General features: G+C 45.5%; 1 protein-coding gene across 9 annotated transcripts in view, besides 4 other annotated features; it reads right to left on the reverse strand.

Moving 5' to 3' along the window:
• ZBTB17 (zinc finger and BTB domain containing 17) overlaps positions 1–7,579 on the reverse strand; it is a 34,233-nt gene extending 26,654 nt beyond the window's left edge. For all 9 annotated transcript variants that reach the window (NM_001324137.2, XM_011542085.4, NM_001242884.2 and 6 more), the window contains exons 1-2: positions 7,461–7,579; positions 4,517–4,603 (exon numbers count right to left, since the gene is read on the reverse strand). The gene's annotated coding sequence lies outside the window, so the exon portion shown is untranslated. The remainder of the gene's footprint in view (positions 1–4,516; positions 4,604–7,460) is intronic.
• Positions 6,443–6,552: an enhancer, noted in NCBI's record as "active region_257". NCBI's record gives its function as "activates an Ori minimal core promoter by ATAC-STARR-seq in GM12878 lymphoblastoid cells {active_cell/tissue: GM12878}" and the evidence as "EXISTENCE:reporter gene assay evidence [ECO:0000049][PMID:35858748]".
• Positions 6,973–7,302: a silencer, noted in NCBI's record as "silent region_318". NCBI's record gives its function as "represses an Ori minimal core promoter by ATAC-STARR-seq in GM12878 lymphoblastoid cells {active_cell/tissue: GM12878}" and the evidence as "EXISTENCE:reporter gene assay evidence [ECO:0000049][PMID:35858748]".
• Positions 7,343–7,442: a silencer, noted in NCBI's record as "silent region_319". NCBI's record gives its function as "represses an Ori minimal core promoter by ATAC-STARR-seq in GM12878 lymphoblastoid cells {active_cell/tissue: GM12878}" and the evidence as "EXISTENCE:reporter gene assay evidence [ECO:0000049][PMID:35858748]".
• Positions 7,444–7,943: an enhancer, noted in NCBI's record as "H3K27ac hESC enhancer chr1:16302461-16302960 (GRCh37/hg19 assembly coordinates)". NCBI's record gives its function as "activates a minimal SCP1, AML or CMV promoter by ChIP-STARR-seq in primed H9 embryonic stem cells {active_cell/tissue: H9 hESC(primed)}" and the evidence as "EXISTENCE:reporter gene assay evidence [ECO:0000049][PMID:30033119]".

Raw genomic sequence — 20,421 nt, forward strand, 5'->3', positions numbered from 1 at the left:
GCAGGGGAGGGGCTCCAAACTCACTTGGGTTGGGGGAACTGGGAATGGCTCAGAAAAGGCTTCCCAGAAGCATCTGAACTTGAAGGAATTAAACAGGCAGAGAGAATCCTCAAAACACCCCTTACCAGATCTCTCAGGATATGGTCTCTGAGTAGCCAAGGTTTGATGACTTTAATTAGAAAGCTTGGGGGAACTCTCCCAGAAAACAGAAGGGGCACAGAGTAGTCCTTGACTGTCCATGCACAACCTGGATAGCCCCTGCCACAGGGCAGGATGGCAACCTGGCGTCCCCACAGGTTTGGGCCTTCCTCAACTTCAAACCTGACTGGCCTCCAGCTTCCAACCAGCCTGTACCTTGCAGCAGGAGGTAAGTAACATTTCATAAATGTCCACTATACCAGGGGTTCCCAACCCCTGGGCCACAAACCACTGCTGGTCCGTGGCCTGTTAGGAAGTGGGCTACATGGCAGGTGAGTGGCGGGCGAGTGAGCACGCAAGTGAGCGAAGCTTCAACCTGTATTTACAGCCGCTCCCCATCACTTGCCATTACCACCTAAGCTCCGCTTCCTGTCAGATCAGCAGCAGCATTAGATACTCACAGGAGCTCAATCCCTATTGTGAGCTGCACATGTGAAGGATCTAGGTTGTGAGCTTCTCATGAAAATCTAATGCCTGATGATCTGTCACTGTCTTCCATCAACCCCAGATGGGATCGTCTAGTTGCAGGAAAAGCAGCTCAGGACTCCCACTGACTCTACATGATGGTGAGTTGTACAATTATTTCATTATATATTACAATGTAATAGTAATAGAAATAAAGTACATAATAAATGTAAGGTGTTTAAGTCAACCTGAAACCACCTCCCACCCCCCACCCCTCAGCCCCCTTTCTGTGATAAAATTGTCTCCTACAAAACCGGTCCCTGGTGCCAAAAAGGTTGGGGGCTGCGGGCCATGCCACGGCTGGTGGTCCTAGGTGCACGGGGGCCGAGGGGGCACGAGGCAGTAGTGTGGGGACTCCAGGTCCCAGAGGCCGCTCATGGGGTGGGAAGTGTGAGGCCGCTGCCTGCCTGGGCCTCGGAGGGTGGGGGGAGCAGGGCAGGGAGATGATAAATTGACCATTATCTCAGGATGTCTCTTTCTGACTGCCAATATCTTCGCCATCGCCAGCATCACCAACCCAGACTGGCTCAACACCAGGGAGTCTGTGGGAGCACTCACTGTGGGCCTCATGGGACAGTGTCAAACAATGCGTGGACGAGAGGGGATGTGCATCCCTCCCCAGCTTCCCCTGGAGTGGGTCACCATGCTGTTTTTTATCATCATGGGAATCATTTCATTGACTGTAAAATTCCCCTTAGACAGACGGAGGCAGCTAGGACTCTGGAGTCAGGTGTGAATCTGCCCTCCCATTGATTGTCACATGTGGTTTGCTGGTGGCTTCCCACTGGGGAAGAGAAGCTACAAAATATGTTCGATGGATAGCATTCACTGGGATGATGCTTTTCTGTATGGCTGCCGTCATATTTCCAATAGGATTTTACATCAATGAAGTCAGAGGTCAACCTTATAAATTACCCAACACCACAGTAGTTGGGTCATCATATGTACCTTTTGTCTTATCAATTTCTTTACAATAGTAGGACTTCTATTTGCTGCCAAGTTTATTTGCCAAGCTGATAAATGTCTAAATTGCTTGACTCTCACTTATTTTTGAAGGGTGAGGAGGACAAAGGCGAGACATCTGAGCAGCCCTCATGGGAAGATGCTCACATGAAACTGATGCTGAGAAGGAAAAATAAAAAAAGTTTTGATTTGCTCTCACTATGCACTTTGGACTTAAAGAAGAAAAAAAAAAAAAAGGAAGAGCCTTTTTGTTTTATTTTTGAGACAGAGTCTCACTCTGTCACCTAAGCTAGAATGCAGTGGCGTGATCTCAGCTCACTGCAACCTCCGCCTCCCGGGTTCTCCTGCCTCAGCCTCCCGAGTAGCTGGGACTACAGGCACCCACCACCACACCCAGCTAATTTTTTTTTTTTCTCTTGAGATGGAGTCTCGTTCTGTCACCCAGGCTGGAGTGCAGTGGCGTGATCTCGGCTCACTGCAACCTCCGCTTCCCAGGTTCAAGTGATTCTCTTGCCTCAGACTCCTGAGTAGCTGGGATTACAGGCGCCTGCCACTGCGCCCAGCTAATTTTTGTATTTTTAGTAGAGACGGAGTTTCACCATGTTAGCCAGGATGGTCTCGATCTCCTGACCTCGTGATCCACCCACCTCAGCCTCCCAAAGTGCTGGGATTACAGGCGTAAGCCACCGCGCCCAGCCAGGAGAGCCTTTTCCATAACCAAATACAGACAATACTGACTAAATCTCCTGAGCATATTCAGGCAGTCAGGTCTGCACTGTGATAGCAACCTAGAGAAGGAGAATGCTTTCTACTGAAAAGCATGTGGCCCTTTGTGACTCTGTTGTTCCATTTTTAATATCTAATGATTCAATAGAGGGAAAAAAAAAGTCTAAGTAGTTATGTATCATGGTGGACCAGAGGGATGCAAGAGAAGTTCATGTGGGGCTGGCCTCACCTCCTGAGAAATCAGTGTTCACAACTTCCTTGTAATAGTATGAGCCTTTGGCACCATTACTGCACCAAGAAGCCAATAGATCAAAACTTGTTTGCTAAAATGTATGTAAAAATTCTGAAATTCCCTATTCTGTGTGTATGAAAAAAAAAAATCAAACACTAAGACACATGTTTTGGGTAGGTAGGTGGGTGGGTGGGGGAAATCTCTCTCTCTCTCTGTATGTGTGTATGTATATATATATATGTACATACACACACAATATATATATATACACACACTATATATATATACACACTATATATATACACACACACTATATATATATACACACACACTATATATATACACACACACTATATATACACACACACTATATATATACACACACTATATATATATACACACACACTATATATATACACACACACTATATATATACACACACACTATATATATACACACACACTATATATATATACACACACACTATATATATACACTATATATATAAAATATATATTTTGCTGACAGAAAAAAAAAAACGAAAAGGTTGGGGAGTGCTGCACTATGCAGCAAACCCTGTGAATTACCTGCCTGACCTCATGTAATTCTCCAGACAATTCTGTGAATTACCTGCCTGTCCTCATGTAATTCTCCAAACAATTCTGTCATCCCTATTTTACAGATGAGGAAACTGAGGCTCAGCAATGAAACTGAGTAAAAGGCTTGCTGTCTGATGTGTCAGAAGACAATCTTGTGATTAGGAAAATTAATAGTCATTACTTTTTTTTTTTTTAACTCTTTGGGACACAGTTTCAGAAGGAACTGACTGTCAGGACACAGAGCCACTCAACGGGAGGGCAGATTCACACCTGACCCCAGAGTCCTAGCTGCCTCTACCTGTCCAAGGGGAATTTTACAGTGATCAGTCCAAAATGCGCGGTTTGCAACATCTTCACCCCCTCAGGAAAGCCTTCCAGCGCCAGTGCATCCTCCCTGTGTGCGCACACCCTCCACCAGCCCTCCAAGGTATTTCCTGCATTGCATTGTGAGGATACACATGGCTGGGAGCACCTGCTCCCGGGATTCAGTCTTACTTGTGCCAGCATCCCTAGCACCCAGCACAATGCCTGACACATGTTGGGCACAGAAACAATGAATGGATAAACAAGCCTGGCCTCCCTGGGCCCAAGCCCTGTAAACCTACCCAAAGCCAGAGCAGCCTGCCTTGGGGACTCAGTGGACCTCCCCTCAGGCTGGGATCACACCCCCAAGAGAGTAATCCAGACAGACTGAGGACAGAGCAGGTTCTCTCAGCCAGCTTTTTCTCCAGCACTGAAACAGTCACAATCTGTTCTTTAGCTGTGCACCAGATGCAGGAACTGGCTTATGTTTGGGAACCATGTTGCACAAAAATCCCACCTTAAACATTAGAACTTTAAAAGGAATGAGTGTGTGCTCGCTGCTCTGTGTCCCTTTTTGCCCTAGGGAGATCATACATGATGGCAGGAGCTACAGCAGCCAGCTTGGACCATGAGATGGAAGCCTAAGTTTGAGCAAGAAAAGCCACATTATCAAAGGAATCCTGCTCCCAGATGATCTCACAGAACACAGCAAGCTGTGCTACCAGCTCTGGACTGTGTACTTCCAGAATGTTAAGGAGCAAGGAATAAACTTCTGTTTCCACCACTGTAGATTTCACCTAACTAAAGGCGTGAGCATTGCCCAGTGATCATCCACTCTGGCCTCTCTCTGCAGGTAAAACAATAATAGTAAGATCAACAATTTCCCAACCAAACTGTAACTGGGATTTTGTCATTACTATATAATTTTGAAGAAAAGGCTATCAGGAAAGAATCATTTGAATCATGTTGAACCTAGAGAAAAAGGACAAACTGATCTGATTTGTTTCATCCTTGAGTATTACAGACATACCTCAGATTTCCAGACAGCCCAGGCTACTCTTTTCTGACAGTTTGCCTGTGTAAACTCCAGCTTGGCTCCCCTCGTCCGGCTCATTACCTGAATCAATGACACACAAGTGGAAAATCTGATGAGAACCTAAAGGGTACCTGCTCCCTCAGAGCTGCCTTTTCATGCATCCATCAAACATAGACAAATACAGAGTGCTTAGCACAGAGCCTGGCCCAAGGAAGTGCTGAATAAATGGCCTGCTCTGTGCCAGATAGCATGCTGACACTGGGACACAAAGATGCACAGACTCAGCCTCAGGCCCTGCTCTCAAGAACTCCAGCTCAATAAGAGACAGGACACAATGTTAAGAAGGAAAAACGACAAGGTTTGTATCCAAGCATTACTGCAGCATTGGCACTGCTCTGGGATATCCTGGACACTTTGTTTCTCATTGCATACCCTACCCTAGGTGAGCTCATCCCCTCCCATGACTTCAGTGACCTTTGATGGTGATAACTACTAGCTGAACAGGTGCACTTGAATGTTTTACAGGCATCCAACTCCAACATGTTCAAAACTAAACATATCTGCCCTCCCCCAGATCTGCTCCCCGTACTGCTCCCTATCACATGGAGCAGCATCCAACACCCATCAGTCAAAAACTGGGGTGATCCTGACTCCTCCCTGCCCCTAACTCTCATCAAACTAATCACCAAATTGTGTCAATTCTATCGCTAAAACCATCTCTCCTCACTCTCTGCCTTTAACTCACACCTTTATTTCTCACTTGGATTATTCTAGCAGGCTCTTAATTGGCCTACAGGCCCACTCCCTTTGATACATTCTTCACTTAGCCAGAGTGATCTTCCTAATCCACAAATCTGATTCGTGGCCAGGCATGGTTGCACATGCCTATAATCCCAGTACTTTGGGAGGCTGAGGCGGGAGGATCATTTGAGGCCAAGAGTTCGAGACCAGTCTGGGCAACATAGTGAGACCCCATCTCTACTAAAAATTTAAAAAATTAGCCAGGTGTTATGGTGCACGCCTGTAGTCCCAGCTAGTTGGGAGGCTGAGGCAGAAGGATCACTTGAGTTCAGATCAAGGCTGCAGTGAACTATGATTATGCTGCCACTGCACTCCAGCCTGGGTGACAGAGCAAGACGTAGTCTCAAAAAAAAAAAACAAAAACAAAAACAAAAAAAACCTGATTCTTTTATTTCAGGCTGGAAATAAAAGAATCCTCCCACCTCAGCCTTCCAAGAAGCTGGGACCACCAGAGGTGTACTCCACCATGCCCGGCTATTTTTTTTTTCCTTTTTTTTTTTTTTTCTTTTAATAAAGATGGGGTCTTGCCATGTTGCCCAGGCTTGTCTCAAACTCCTGGGCTCAAATGATCATCCCACGTTGGCCTCCCAAAGTGCTAGAATTACAGAGTAAGCCACCGCACCTGGCCACAGATCTGATTCTTAAATGGCTTCCCATTAACCTAAAGTTTAAAGTCCTTAACTAGGTTTACAACGTCCCCTAAGACCAGACCACAGCTTGCTGCTGCTTTTTTTTTTTTTCTTTTTTGAGACGGAATCTCGCTCTGTCGCCCAGGCTGGAGTGCAGTGGCGCCGTTTCGGCTCACTGCAACCTCCGCCTCCTGCGTTCGAGCGATTCTCATACCTCAGCCTCCTGAGCAGCTGGGACTACAGGCGCGCGCAAGCACGACCGGCTAATTTTTGTATTTTTAGTAGAGACGGGGGTTTCACCATATTGGCCAGGCTGGTCTCGAACTCCTGACCTCAAGTGATCTGCCCGCCTGGGCCTCCCAAAGTGCTGAGATTACAAGCGTGAGACAACGAGCCCGGCCCAGTCTGCTTCTTTATTTAGCCTGATCTCTCTCTCCTCTCTCTACGAAGATGAGTTTTCTCACAAACTACACCCTTAACTGGGAATACCCGTTTTCCTGCCTCACTCCGCTGAGCTTCCCTTAGATCTTAGCTTTCTGGGGGACAGAAGCCTCCCGGGATTCCCCCTAGGCTGAGTGATGTGTCTCTACTCCGTGCTTCAGAGGAAGGAGGGCTTTCTGCCCTCGCAGCAGTATCAGAATTGCTGATTTACCTGTATGTCTCCCACATGGGTCTCTGAGCTCTGGGTGACAATGGTGATACAATTAATAACAGCAACAAACACACAGCATTTACTTTGTACCCATAAGTGTTCTAGGAGCCTCATTTCCCCTTTATTACAATCTTAGGAGGCTGATTTTATTATCATCTCTGCTTAAAGGATGAATAAACCCAGGCAGAGAGAAAAAGCCAAAAGTGCCTAAGGTCACAGCAGGGAATGGGGATTCAAACCCCGCTGCTGGGCTCCACGGTTCACACTCCTAACTCCAGGATCGAGGATCCTGGAGGATCGAGTCCGCCCGCATCACTCGCTCTAGCTTCACCATCTATCAGGTGCTGAACCACCGTCCGCAGTACGAATGAATGAATGAAATGCTTTTATACAGGGACAGCGTCGGCCTCCTCTGTCAGCTCCTCCTAGGCCCGGGCAGCCCCGCTCCCTCCCGCCCCGGCCGGCCGACAGGAGCTGCCCCGGCACTGCGCTCCCTCGCGGCCGCAGAACGCCCACCCTCGACAGCGCGCGGGGTCAAGGGGCGGTGACAGCCGTGCGGCGGGGGCGGAGATGCTACCAGCTGGGGTGTCATCCAGCCCGGGAGGTGACACGCGCCCCCTCGCCCGGGCGGTCGCCTGGCCGCCCACTCCCCGCCAGCACGCCCGGCGACGCCCCCCGCCCCGCCACCCCACAATCTCCCGCCCAGCGGTGTCCCCTCAGCCCCGGTTGGCGTCCCATTCCACTTCCCTCCCCTCCCCCACACAACCGTCACCGGCGTCCCACCGCGCCCCATCCTCCGCCGCCTCCGCCCCGGCTCCCGGGACTTCCCCGGCCCCGGGCGATTGTTGACACTCACCTGCCATGTCCCGGACCCCACCGCAGAGGGAGGTGCATCACGGCCGCGAGAAGGCCGGGGACGGCACTCCAGAGCAGACAAAGGGCGCCGCCATGTTAGAGTCGGGCGGAACCGACCTCGCAGGCTTCCCGGCTGCAACTTCCGGCGCATGCGCAGCGTCCTCGCTAGGAGAGCGCCCATAGACAGACGCATGCGCCTAGCTATCCAAAAGTTCCACCTTACAGTACTTCGGCGCTCAGAGTTGTCCTCATTGTACCCCTGCCTTGGTTTCTCTTCCAAATATAACAGTAACATCATGTGTTCAGCTCTTACTGTGTGCCAGGCACTGTGTTAAGCGCTTTACATGCATTATCTCTTTAAATCCTCACACCAATTATAAGATAGTATTATTCTCCTAATTTTAAAAAAGGGAAAACAGACTCAAAAAGTGTAAATCAATGTCCATGGTCACATATCTTGTAAGTGGTGGACCGGAGATATGAATCTACTTGTGGCTTCAAAGCTGCAGATCCCAGTTGTGTTTTTCTACCTTCTAAACCGAACATTATCCCCTTCCCTGATTGTCTTGGACGTGAATAAAGGTGTCTGAAAACAAAAGTGTCTGCAGACTTGCATGGCCCCTCCGTGGCCCCTCTTCTACCTTTTTGGTAGCTCTAGGCCACTGACTTCTCCACTTTCTCACAGTCTGAGGGCTTTCTCCTTTGTTTACTTCTAGGCCTGCATATTTTCCATAATCTATAATTTTAACAACACTCTTGCCACTACTGTAAGCTCTTTTGCCCCCTTGCCTTTTTGTCACATGGATTTGGTAAGAATACCAACGCTGTGTGAATCCAAATGCACCTTTTCTCTTTGTTAGCTCCCAAACAGCCAAGCACAGCTGAAGAAAGTATGCAGTGGGGAGACTGTTCCCTAGAGATTCATGTCCACTAGCCTTCAGTGGGATGCAACATATGCCAATCTGGCAACTCACTCCTGTCTTCACAATGGCTAGAGAAACAAAAAAGCCCAGCAGTTGACTTCACCCCTTCTTGTCTTTAGGTTTTTTTTTTTTTTTTGGAGACAGAGTCTCACTCTGTCTTCCAGGCTGGAGTGCAGTGGCGCTGTCTCGGTTCACTGCAAGCTCCGCCTCCCGGGTTCACGCCATTCTCCTGTCTCAGCCTCCAGAGTAGCTGGGACTACAGGCGCCCGCCACAACACCTGGCTAATTTTTTGTATTTTTAGTAGAGACGGGGTTTCACCATGTTAGCCAGGATGGTCTCGATCTTCTGACCTCGTGATCCACCTGCCTCAGCCTCCCAAAGTGCTGGGATTACAGGCGTGAGCCGCCGTGCCCGGCCGTCTTTCTTTTCTTTCTTTTTTTTTTTTTTAGATGGGGTCTCGCTATGTTGCCCGGCTGGACTGAAACCCCTAGGCTTAAGCATCCCATTTCAACCTCCCCAGTAGCTGAGACTACAGGCATGTGCACCCACAACTGGCTAACTTCACCCGTTCTTTTTAACTATATTTTTAATTTTTATTTCAGTAGTTTTTGGGGAACACATGGTGTTTGGTTACATGGATAAGTTCTTTAGTGATGATTTCTGTGATTTTGGGGGACCCATGACCTGAACAGTGTACATTCTACCCAAGGTGTAGTCTTTTTTTTTTTTTTTTTTTTTTTTTGAGATGGAGTCTTGCTCTGTTGCCCAGGCTGGAGTGCAGTGGCGCCATCTGGGCTCACTGCAAGTTCCGCCTCCCAGGTTCACGCCATTCTCCTGACTCAGCCTCCCGAGTAGCTGGGACTACAGGCGCCCGCCACCATGCCCGGCTAATTTTTTGTATTTTTAGTAGAGACGGGGTTTCACCGTGTTAGCCAGGATGGTCTGGATGTCCTGACCTCGTGATCCGCCCGCCTCGGCCTCCCAAAGTGCTGGGATTGCAGGCGTGAGCCACTGCGCCCAGCCAACCCAAAGTGTAGTCTTTTATCCCTCACCCCTCCCACCTTTCCCCCTGAGTTCCCAAAGTCCATTGTGTCATTCTTATGCCTTTGCGTCCTCATAGCTTAGCTCCCACCTAAAAGTGAGAGCATATGATATTTGGTTTTCCATTCCTGAGTTACTTCATTTAGAATAATGGTCTCTAGCTCCATCCATGTTGCTGCAAATGCCATTATTTCATTCCTTTTTATGGCTGAGTAGTATTCCATGTTATATATATATACCACATTTTCTTTATCCACTCGTGCATTGATGGGCATTTGAGATGGTTCTATATGTTTGCAATTGTGAACTGTGCTGCTACAAACATGCGTGTGGAAGTGTATTTTTCATATAATGACTTATTTTCCTCTCTGTAGATACCCGCTAGTGGGATTGCTGGATCTAATGGCAGATTTACTTTTAGTTCTTTAAGGAACATCCATATTGTTTTCCATAGTGGTTGTGCTAGTTTACATTCCCACCAGCAGTGCAAAAGTGTTCCCTTTTCACCACAACCATGTCAACATCTATCATTTTTTCATTTTTGATTGTGGCCATTCATGCAGGAGTAGGTATGGCATTATGGTTTTGATTTGCATTTGCCTGATGATTAGTGATATTGAGCATTTTTTCACGTTTGTTGGCCATTTGTGTATCTTCTTTTAAGAACTGTCGGGCCGGGCGCGGTGGCTCACGCCTGTAATCCCAGCACTTTGGGAGGCCGAAGTGGGCAGATAGCCTGAGGTCAGGAGTTCGAGACCAGCCTGGTCAACATGGCGAAACCTCGTCTCTACTAAAAAATCAAAAAAATAAAAATAAAAAAAATAGCCAGCATCGTGGTGGGCACCTGTAGTACCAAGCTACTCAAGAGGCTGAGGCAGGGAGAATTGCTTGATCCTGAGGCTGCAGTGAGCTAAGATTGTGCCACTGCACTCCAGCCTGGGCGACAGTGTGAGACTCTGTCTCAAAAAAAAAAAAATAAGAATTGTCTGTTCATGTCCTTAGCATGTGACTTTTTAATAGGATTATTTGCTTTTTTCTTGCTGATTTGTTTGAGTTCCTTGTAGATTCTGGGTATTAGTTCTTTGTTGGATGCATAGTTTGTGAAAATTTTCTCCCACTCTGTGGGTTGTCTGTTTACTCTGCTGATTATTTATTTTGCTGTGCAGAAACTTTTTAGTTTAATTAGGTCCCATTTATTTATATTCATTTTTGTTGCATTTGCTTTTGGGTTCTTAGTCATAAAGTCTTCGCCTAAGCCAATGTCCAGAAGAGTTTTTCCAATGTTGTCTTCTAGAATTTTTGTGGTTTCAGGTCTTAGATTTCAGTCTTTGATCTATCTTGAGTTGATATTTGTATAAGGTGAGAGATGAGGATACAGTTTCATTCTTCTACGTGTGGCTTGCCAATTATCCCAGTACCATTTACTGAATAGGGTGCCCCTCCCCCCTTTATATTTTTGTTTGCTTTGTTGAAGATCCATTGGATATAAGTATTTGGCTTTATTTCTGGGTTCTCTATTCTGTTCGTTTGGTCTATGTACCTATTTTATTCCAGTACCGTGCTGTTTTGGGGACTATAGCCTTGTAGTATAGTTTGAAGTTGGGTAATGTGATGCTCCCAGATTTGTTCTTTTTGCTTAGTTTTGCTTTGGATATGCAGGCCCCTTTTTGGTTCCATACTTCCCCATTTCTTAAAAAAATTTTTTTTAAATCATAGTAAGAAAACTTAATATGAGAGCTGTCCTCTTAAGAATTTGTTCTTTCTCTTCAACTTTTATTTTAAGTTCAAAGGTACATGTGCAGGAGGTGCAGGTTTGTTACATAGGTGGTAATATATGACCCATGTTTACTTTAGGTTGAACTAATGTTTGGACTTAACATTTAAATGTATTACAGGCCAGGTGTGGTGGCTCATGCCTGTAATCCCAGCACTTTGGGAGGCCAAGGCAGGAGGATCGCTTGAGACTGGGAATTGGAGACAAGCCTGGGCAACATAATGAGACTCCCCCTCATCTCTACTAAAAATAAAAGCTTAGCTGGGTATAGTAATGCATACCTGTAATCCCAGCTACTTGGGAGGCTGAGGCAGGAGGATCACTTCAGCCCAGGAGTTCGGGGCTGCAGTGAGCTATGATTGTGCCACTGCATTCCAGCCTGGGTGACAAACCAAGACCCTGTCTCTAAAAAAAATTTTAAATAAATGTATTACAATTAGGCCCTATATGTCAAAAGGTCTTTTCAGGGCACAAAAGCATTCAAGTGCACAGCCTCTGTAAACTGTCCAGGACCAGTCCCTGGTTGGTGGTCTTCTTAGCTGGAGAAAGTTATCGAAATCACCTTCTTTGTCCAAAGCTGTAGTTACGGCTGGTGGAACAGGAGTTCCAGTTGGCCTCTGTGAGCTGAATGAGTCGTAATTGTCTTAATACTGTTTATCTCGAGGCAAGTAGTCGTTTAGCTGCTAGAGAAAAAGAAAAACCTTGTGGCAATTGAACATAGTTTATTTTTTAAGGTAGGAGTGCACGGCTGAACCCTTGCGTGGCACAGCCTTAGGTCCTGTCTATAATTTGGGATGTTATTGCCACAGTCTGTTCTGTCAGTCTTATTGTCTCTATTTTAACTTTAATGCTCATCAGTTGTTATGTCTAAAATACAAATAGGGCCGGGCATGGTGGCTCACACATGTAATCCCAGCACTTTGGGAGGCTGAGGCGGATGGATCGCTTGAGGTCAGGAGTTCGAGATCAGCCTGGCCAACATGGTGAAACTCTGTCTCTACTAAAAATACAAAAATTAGCTGGGCGTGGTGGTGTGTGTCTGTAATCCCAGCTACTCGGGAGGCTGAGGCAGGAGAATCTCTTGAACCCGGGAGGTGGAGGTTGCAGTGAGCCAAGATTGCGGCACTGCACTTCAGCCTGGGCGACAGAGCAAGATGCTGTCTCAAAATAAATAAATAAATAAATAAATAAATAAATAAATAAATAAATAGATAGATAGATAGATAAAAGTAATAAGTATATCAAGGTGTGTTGTTTTAGTCTGTTCTCACGCTGCTAATAAAGGCATACCCAAGACTGGGTAATGTGTAAAGGAAAGAGGTTTAGTTGACTCACAATTCAGCATGACTGGGGAGGCCTCAGGCAACTTCCAATCATGGTGGAAGGGGAAGCAAACACATCCTTCTTCACATGGCAGCAGCAAGAAGGAGAATGAGCAAAAGGAGGAAAAGCCCCTTATAAAACCATCAGAAAGGCTGGGAGTTGTGGTTCATGCCTGTAATCCCAGAAATTTGGGAGGCCAAAGCAGGTGGATCACTTGAGGTCAGGAGTTCCAGGCCAACATACTGAAACTCCATCTCTAGTAAAAATAGTGAGTCTCCGTCTAAAACAAAAACAAAAACAAAACAAAACATCAGATATCCTGAGAACTTACTCTCACTCACTATCCTGAGAACAGCAGCATGGGGGTAATCACCCCCATGATTCAATCACCTCCCACCGGGTCCCTCCCACAACACGTGGGGTTTATGGAAACTACAATTCAAGATGAGATTTGGGTGGGGACACAACCAAATCATATCACGTGTCTAACCTCCCACCCTGTTGTAGCTGGGAACTCAGTCTCTAAGGTTTTTCTGGGGTCCCCTTAGCCAAAAGGAGGTCCGTTCAGTCGGTGGGGGACTTGGGATTTTATTTTTAGTTTACAGTGGAATCATGCTGGATTTGTCCTTCTGTACTGGCTTATTTCACATAGCACAATGTCCTTAAGGTTTATCACTGTTGTCAAATTTTGCAGAATTTCTTTTTTAAAGGCTGAATAATATTCTATCTTATGTATATACCGTATTTGGTTTAACCATTTGTCTGTCAGTGGACCCTTGGTTGGGTTGTTTCCACATTTTGGCTATTGTGAATAAATGCTACAATGAACAGTGGAGCACGAATATCTCTCCAAGGTCCTGATTTCAATTCTTTAGATAAAGACCCAGAAGTGGGATTTCTGGATCCTATGGTGGTTCTATTTTTAATTTTTTGAGGAATCCCCATATACCGTTCTTCATAGTGGCTGCACCATTTTGCATTCCACCAACAGTACACAAAGGTTCCAATTTTTCCACATCCTTACCAACACTTGTATTTCACCTCTTCTTTTACAGGGAGAATAATAGCAGATCTGTTAGGAACCTTCTTGTCTTCCCAATATTAAGCATACAAATCTATCCCCGGGTCTATCTGTGTTAGATGTGATCAATCAGGACTCAGCATCCATTCTTTCCAGAATCTAAAACGCTAAAAATGTATTTCCGCCTGGCGTGGTGGCTCACGCCTGTAATCCCAGCACTTTGGGAGGCCGAGGCAGGTGGATCACCTGAGGTCGGGAGTTTGAGACCAGCCTGACCAACATGGAGAAACACTGTCTCTACTAAAAATTAAAAATTAGCTGAGTGTGGTGGCGCATGCCTGTAATCCTAGCTACTCAGGAGGCTGAGGCAGGAGAATCGCTTGAACCCGGGAGGCGGAGGTTGCAGTGAGCCAAGATTGTGCCATTGCACTACAGCCTGGGTAACAAGAGTGAAACTCCATCTCAAAAAAAAAAATGTATTTCCCAGACTCAGCTGCAATTAGAATCCCACATATGGATGGGTTCTGCCAGTTAGTGGGATTTGGAAGAAGGAAGTGAGGCTGTAGCCATAGTCCTGCTGCTTTTGGCTGATATCTGCTGGCAAACAAGGTCATGGCTGTTTATAATTGCACCATAGAGCTTCAAATAAGAAAAGATTTGGGGTTTAAATTCTTGGCTCAAGGCAGGGTCAGATAACCTGGGGTCATTCCTGACTACTGCAATAGATGTATCATCTCTTATAGCCATGGGGCTTATGTAGCCAAAAATTGAAGAGAGTTCATCCCATGGGTTGCTGATTTGTAATGTAATTGTTATGTATGCTGTATTCACAGCCTGACCAGGTGCATGGAACAGGAAAAAGTGGCTCTCAGGAACTGAAATAGGGATGTTTGGGTGGATGCAGATGATTTTGTGTTCCCTGACTACCCATATCCAAAGTCCAGTGAGATTCCTTTGCTGATAGAAGCAGCCCCTCCTTCCATCTGACCAGGCTGATTCTGCTTTCTCTGGGGAGTGTGTAATGACCTCACCCGGGGAAGTTATTTTGCAAGAGGAATCTAATTCTCGTGAACACTCCACTGCCCATTGTTTGTTTCCAGATCTATAATGAAAGCCAGATTCCAGGATGAGCCAGGAGACAGGCACAGAGTCTGACCAAGGAGGATATGGCTTCTACAACAAAATAAAACAATCAAACAAACAAACAAGCCTTAGCTAAGTAAGTGAGCTGAAGCCTAGGGAATATGGGTGCTACCTCAGAAAGGAAAGAATATAACATTTGGCTGAATTTATCAACATAATATGTTACAGAGATTTGGGGTTTTAAAGTTCCAGCTGGAAATGGTTCTAACAAGTCAACTGGTTGATTAAACTCTGGATCAACAGTGGCCTTTATAAAACGAAGTTGAGTGGAGATGCCAGAAACTGCTTAGAATATTACAGAAGAGGAATCCAAGAATTTGCACTTGATGGCTGAGACAGGACAGGAGTTAAGTATACATGTGTTGATTGAGTGAGTGAATGATTACAACTTGCCTGGTTTCTCATTAGGTGCCACTGATTCAATTATATGACTAACCAGGTCCCTCAACCCCAAGCTTCTCCCCTCCAATATTCTTGCCCCACCCCACCCTCAGTCAGTCGCCAAAGTGACACACAGCACCCCTCACCATCTCCAGAGTCTCCAGCCTAAACCTCATCCACTTTCTACTCTAACGCCCCCTCAAAGCTCAGTTACTATTCACATGTGGGCAACCCTGCATTTTCCCTATAAGGATAACTTTTTAAGCAGTTGGCCACCCTGTAGACATAAACTTGAAGAAGTGTAGATAAACCTTGTAGACTTAAACTTGAAGAGCTGTTGATAGACGAATGGCTGTTTATACAATTTAATTTACCAACTTGATTGCACAAATCTTAAAAATCACAAATTATATAACACGGCAGCGTACTAATTCATAAATATTGCTTTTCTTCCTCTGTTTACTTGTCATGAAATGATTTTCTTAACTCTTCCCAGAAATCCTTGGCATATACTTTTTAGTTCCCATCCATTTTGAAAATGTTATAAATTACACAAAAGTGAAAGTAATAAGACATTTTCTCTATTTCCATCATCCAGATTCAATAGTTAAGTTTTGCTACACATTCTTAATATATTCTTCCTTTCTTTCTTCCTTTTTTTTTTTTTTTTGAGATGGAGTCTCACTCTGTTGCCCAGGCTGGAGTGCAGTGGTGTGATCTCGGCTCACTGCAATCTCCACCTCCCACGTTCAAGTGATTCTCCTGCCTCAGCCTCCTGAGTACCTGGGACCACAGGCATGTGCCACCATGCCTGGCTAGTTTTTGTATTTTTAGTAGAGACAGTGTTTTGCCATGTTGGCCAGGCTGGTCTCAAACTCTTGACCTCAGGTGATCTGCCCGCTTCAGCCTTCCAAAGTGCTGGGATTACAGGCGTGAGCCATTGCGCCCAGCCTGAAGAAGTACTTTAAAGCAAATCCCAGATCCTGTCATTCCACCGTGCATGATGATGATACCTCAGTGTGCAACTGTAAAAAAAATTCCACAATGCCCTGATCAGGCCTAACAATAAGAAGAATTATTCTTTGGAATAATTTAATATTCAGCCATAATCAAATTTTGCTAATTGTCTCCAAGTGTCTTTTTATGATTGCTTTGTTCAAATCAGGATCCATACAAAGTCCTCCCAACCACAGTCACAATTGTGTGGTGGTGTTTTTAAAATTGTCTTTTGAGTCACTTTTATTCCAAAGTCATTCCTTTCCTTGTTTTTTGTTTGTTCCCTCTTGTTGCCTTGATGCAGAAATAGGGACTGTTGTCCCACAGAATTCCCACATTCTGGAATTCTGTTTGCTTCTTTATACTGTCATTTAACTAGCTTCTCTGTCTCCCTGTTTCCTGTAAATAAGCCCTCAAGGCCTGAGTAGATTCAGGTCTAACTTTTTATTATTTATTTGAGACAGAGTCTCACTCTGTCACCCAGGCTGGAGTGCAGTGGTGCAATCTTCTCTCACTGCAACCTGCGCCTCCCAAGTGCAAGCGATTCTCATGCCCCAGCCTCCTGAGTAGCTGGATTACAGGCACGCGCTACCACGCCCGACTAATTTTTGTATTTTTAGTAGAGGTGGGGCTTCACCATGTTGGCCAGGCTAGTCTTGAACTTCTGACCTCAAGTGATCCATCTGCCTTGGCCTCCCAAAGTGCTGGGATTATGGGCATGAACCACCACACCCAGGCCTGGGTCTAATTTTTTAAAATTTATTATTGTTATTATTATTTTTTAGAGGCAGGATCCCATTCTGTCACCCAGGCTGGAGTGTGGTGGTGTGATCATGGCTCACTGCAGCCTCAAACTCCTGGGCTCAAGCAATCCTCCTGCCTCAGCCTCCCAGGTAGTTGGAACTACAGGTATGCACCACCGTGCCTGGCTAATTTTTTAATTATTTTTTTTATAGAGACATGTCTTGCTATGTTGCCCAGGCTGAGCACGAACTCCTGGGCTCAAGCAGTCCTTGAACTTTGGCCTCCTAAAATGCTGGGATTCTAGGCATGAGCCATCAGGTCCGGCCCAGATCCAACTTTTTTTGGTAGAAGCATTTCACAGGTTTTGCTGAGTGCTTCCGGGAAGTCACATCATGGGCCCCCTTGGTGGGTCTGCGTGGCAGCAATCTGACTTTCCCTTTGGGAATTTCCCCATCAACCTTCCAAGCAATGGGTTTTTCTTTTGAAGATCTCTGAGTCATTGATTTCATTAGGGGTTGTAAAATAATGCATTTCTATCGTTCTTTCCACATCTATGAGCTGGAATTCTTCTGTAAACAGGAATTTCCCCACATCAATCAGGGTTACCTGGTTACCTGAAAACATAGTTCATTGAGGAAAGGCAGGATACAGCTTATTTCCTTTCTTAAAATACAACAACTTTATTGAGATATAATTCACATACATACAATTAATTCTTATAGAGTGTACAGATCAGTGGTTTTTGGTATATTCAGAGTTGTGCAACCATCACCACTAATTTCAGAACAGTTTCATTACCCCCAGAAGCATCTCCATGCCCATTAACAGACACTTCCCATTCCTTCCTCCCCTCTCAGCTCCTGACAACCACTGATCTGCTTTATCTCTATGAATTTGCCTATTCTAGGAACTTCCTATAAATGGAATCATACAACATGTGGTCTTTTGTGACTCGACTCCTCTCCCCTCCCTTCCCTTCCCCTCCCCTCCCCTCCCCTCTCTTCCCTTCCCTTCTCTTTTGAGACAGGGTCTCACTCTATCCCCCAGGCAGGAGTGCCACTGGCACGATCTCAGCTCACTGCAACCTCCCCATCCTGTGTTCAAGCAATTCTCCTACCTCAGCCTCCCGAGTAGCTGGGATTACAGGTGCACGCCATCACACCCGGCTAATTTTTGTATTTTTAGTAGAGATGGAGTTCACCATGTTGACTGGGCTGGACTCGAACTCCTAACCTTAAGTGATCCACCAGCCTCGGCCTCCCAAAGTGCTGGGATTCCAGGTGTGAGGCACTGCTCCCGGCCACTTGATTTTCAAGGTTCATTCACGCTGTGGCATGCGTCAGTACTTCAGCATTTTTTTATTGTCAAATATATTCTAATGTATGAATACACCACAGTTGATTTTTCAGCTGATGAACATTTGGGTTCTTTTCACTTTTGCTGTTATTAAAAATGCTCCAATGAACATTCATATAAAGGTTTTGATTTTGTTTTGTTTTTGAAACAGGGTCTCACTCTGCCACCCAGGCTGGAGTGCAGTGGCGCAATCTCGGCTCACTGCCACCTCTGCCCCCTGGGTTCAAGCAATTCTTGTGCCTCAGCCTCCTGAGTAGCTGAGACCACAGGCATGCACTGCCACAGCCCAGCTAACGTTTTGTATTTTTAGTAGAGTCGGGGTTTCTCCATGTTGGTCAGGCTGGTCTGGAACTCCTGACCTCAGGTGATCCGCCCACCTCGGCCTCCCAAAGTGCTAGGATTACAGGCGTGAACCACCGCGCCCAGCCAGGAAATATGTTTTTACATATACAAGTTTATCTATTATTTCTTTCACTTTGCCAGATAAATCATACTATACATTCTGATGTTCACCCTGCTTTTTGTAGTTTATAAAGTATCAAGCAATCTTTCCATATTAGCAAATAGAAATCTACATCATTCCTTTTAATAGCTGAATAGAATATTAGCTTATGACTATCACAATTTTATAAATTCCCTACTGATAAACACTTTAGTTGCTTTCTTTTTTTGCTATTAAAAATATTGTAATAAGCATTAATATATACAGGCATCTGCCACTACACCAGGCTAATTTTTGTATTTTTAGCAGAGACAGGGTTTTGCCATGTTGGCCAGGCTGGTCTCAAACTCCTGACCTCAAGTGATCCGCCCATCTCCGCCTCCCAAAGTACTGGGTTTACAGGAGTGAGCCACCGCACCCTGCCACCCATATACCCTGATGGAAGACAAGTGAATTCAAATTCCAGGAGACATGTGAGTATCCACTACAAGAACTAACTTTGTCTTGAAGTCATATACTTAATCTTAAAAACCCAGGCCGAGCACAGTGGCTCACGCATATAATCCCAGCACTTTGGGAGGCTGAGGCGGGTGGACCACTTGAGGTTGGGAGTTCAAGACCAGCCTGGCCAACATGGTAAAAACCCCATCTCTATTAAAAATACAATAATTAGCCAGGTGTGGTGGTGGGCGCCTGTAATCCCAGGTACTCGGGAGGCTGAGGCAGGAGAATCACTCAAATCCAGGAGGCGGAGGTTGCAGTGAGCTGAGATCACACCACTGCACTCCAGCCTGGGCAATGGGGAGAGACTCCATCTCAAAAAGAAAAAAATATTAAAAAAAAAACTGTTCATATTTTGTAGTATATCCATGTCTGTTCTTTGTTAATCAATGTATTAAAAAATAATAAATTACTCAACATTAAAATTTCATCTCTTTAGGAAGATGCGCCACATTTATCCCAACGATCCACACATTCTGTACGTACCTGTTTTCCCAGGGCTTGGGTACCCCAGCTAAAGGAGTGTGGTTCTGATCTATCTCCTTTATTATAGGTATAATCCAGTTACTGAGAATGTGACTATCAAGAGCGAAGGCGCTATTCAGTTCAACTTCACGCTTGTTTGATCCTCAAAAGATTCAAACAATGAATCAAAGAAAGGAAAGGGAGCTAGCATCAGCACCGATGATGCCAGTGATCCAACTACTAAAGAGTTTAAAACTTTAATTTAAAAACTTTTAGCTGAGAATGGTTTGGAAAGCCTCATGTTACACTCCTTCTCAAATCTGGCTCTTTATCGATACCATTCCTACAAAGAGACATCATCATGGTTTATCAGAAGACACAACCAAAATCCAGTGAGGAAGGGCAGCCGTCAAAGGTTTTATTCATCCGGGCATGGTAGCTCACTCCTAATCCCAGCACTTTGGGAGGCCGAGGTGGGTGGATCACCTGAGGCCAGGAGTTCGAGACCAGCCTGGCCAACATGATGAAACCTCTCTCTACTAAAAATACAAAAACTAGCTGGGCGCGGTGGCAGGCGCCTGTAATCCCAGCTACTCGGGAGGCTGAGGCAGGAGAATCGCTTGAGCCTGGGAGGCGGAGCTTTCAGTGAGCCAAGATCTCACCACTGCACTCCACCCTGGGCAACAGAGCGAGACTCTGTCTCAAAAAAAAAAAAAAAAAAAAGATTTTATTCTCCAGGAGAAGGGGTTCTTGGGGGCTATAAGCAGCAGGCAGAAGACTTTATTGCATGTGTGGTTAGGTGATAGCAACCTAAGTTTGCATTGGGAACTGGCATCAAGAGTGACCCGAAC

This window comes from Homo sapiens, chromosome 1 (genome assembly GCF_000001405.40).
Source record: "Homo sapiens chromosome 1, GRCh38.p14 Primary Assembly".
NCBI classification, from domain to species: Eukaryota; Metazoa; Chordata; class Mammalia; order Primates; family Hominidae; genus Homo; species Homo sapiens.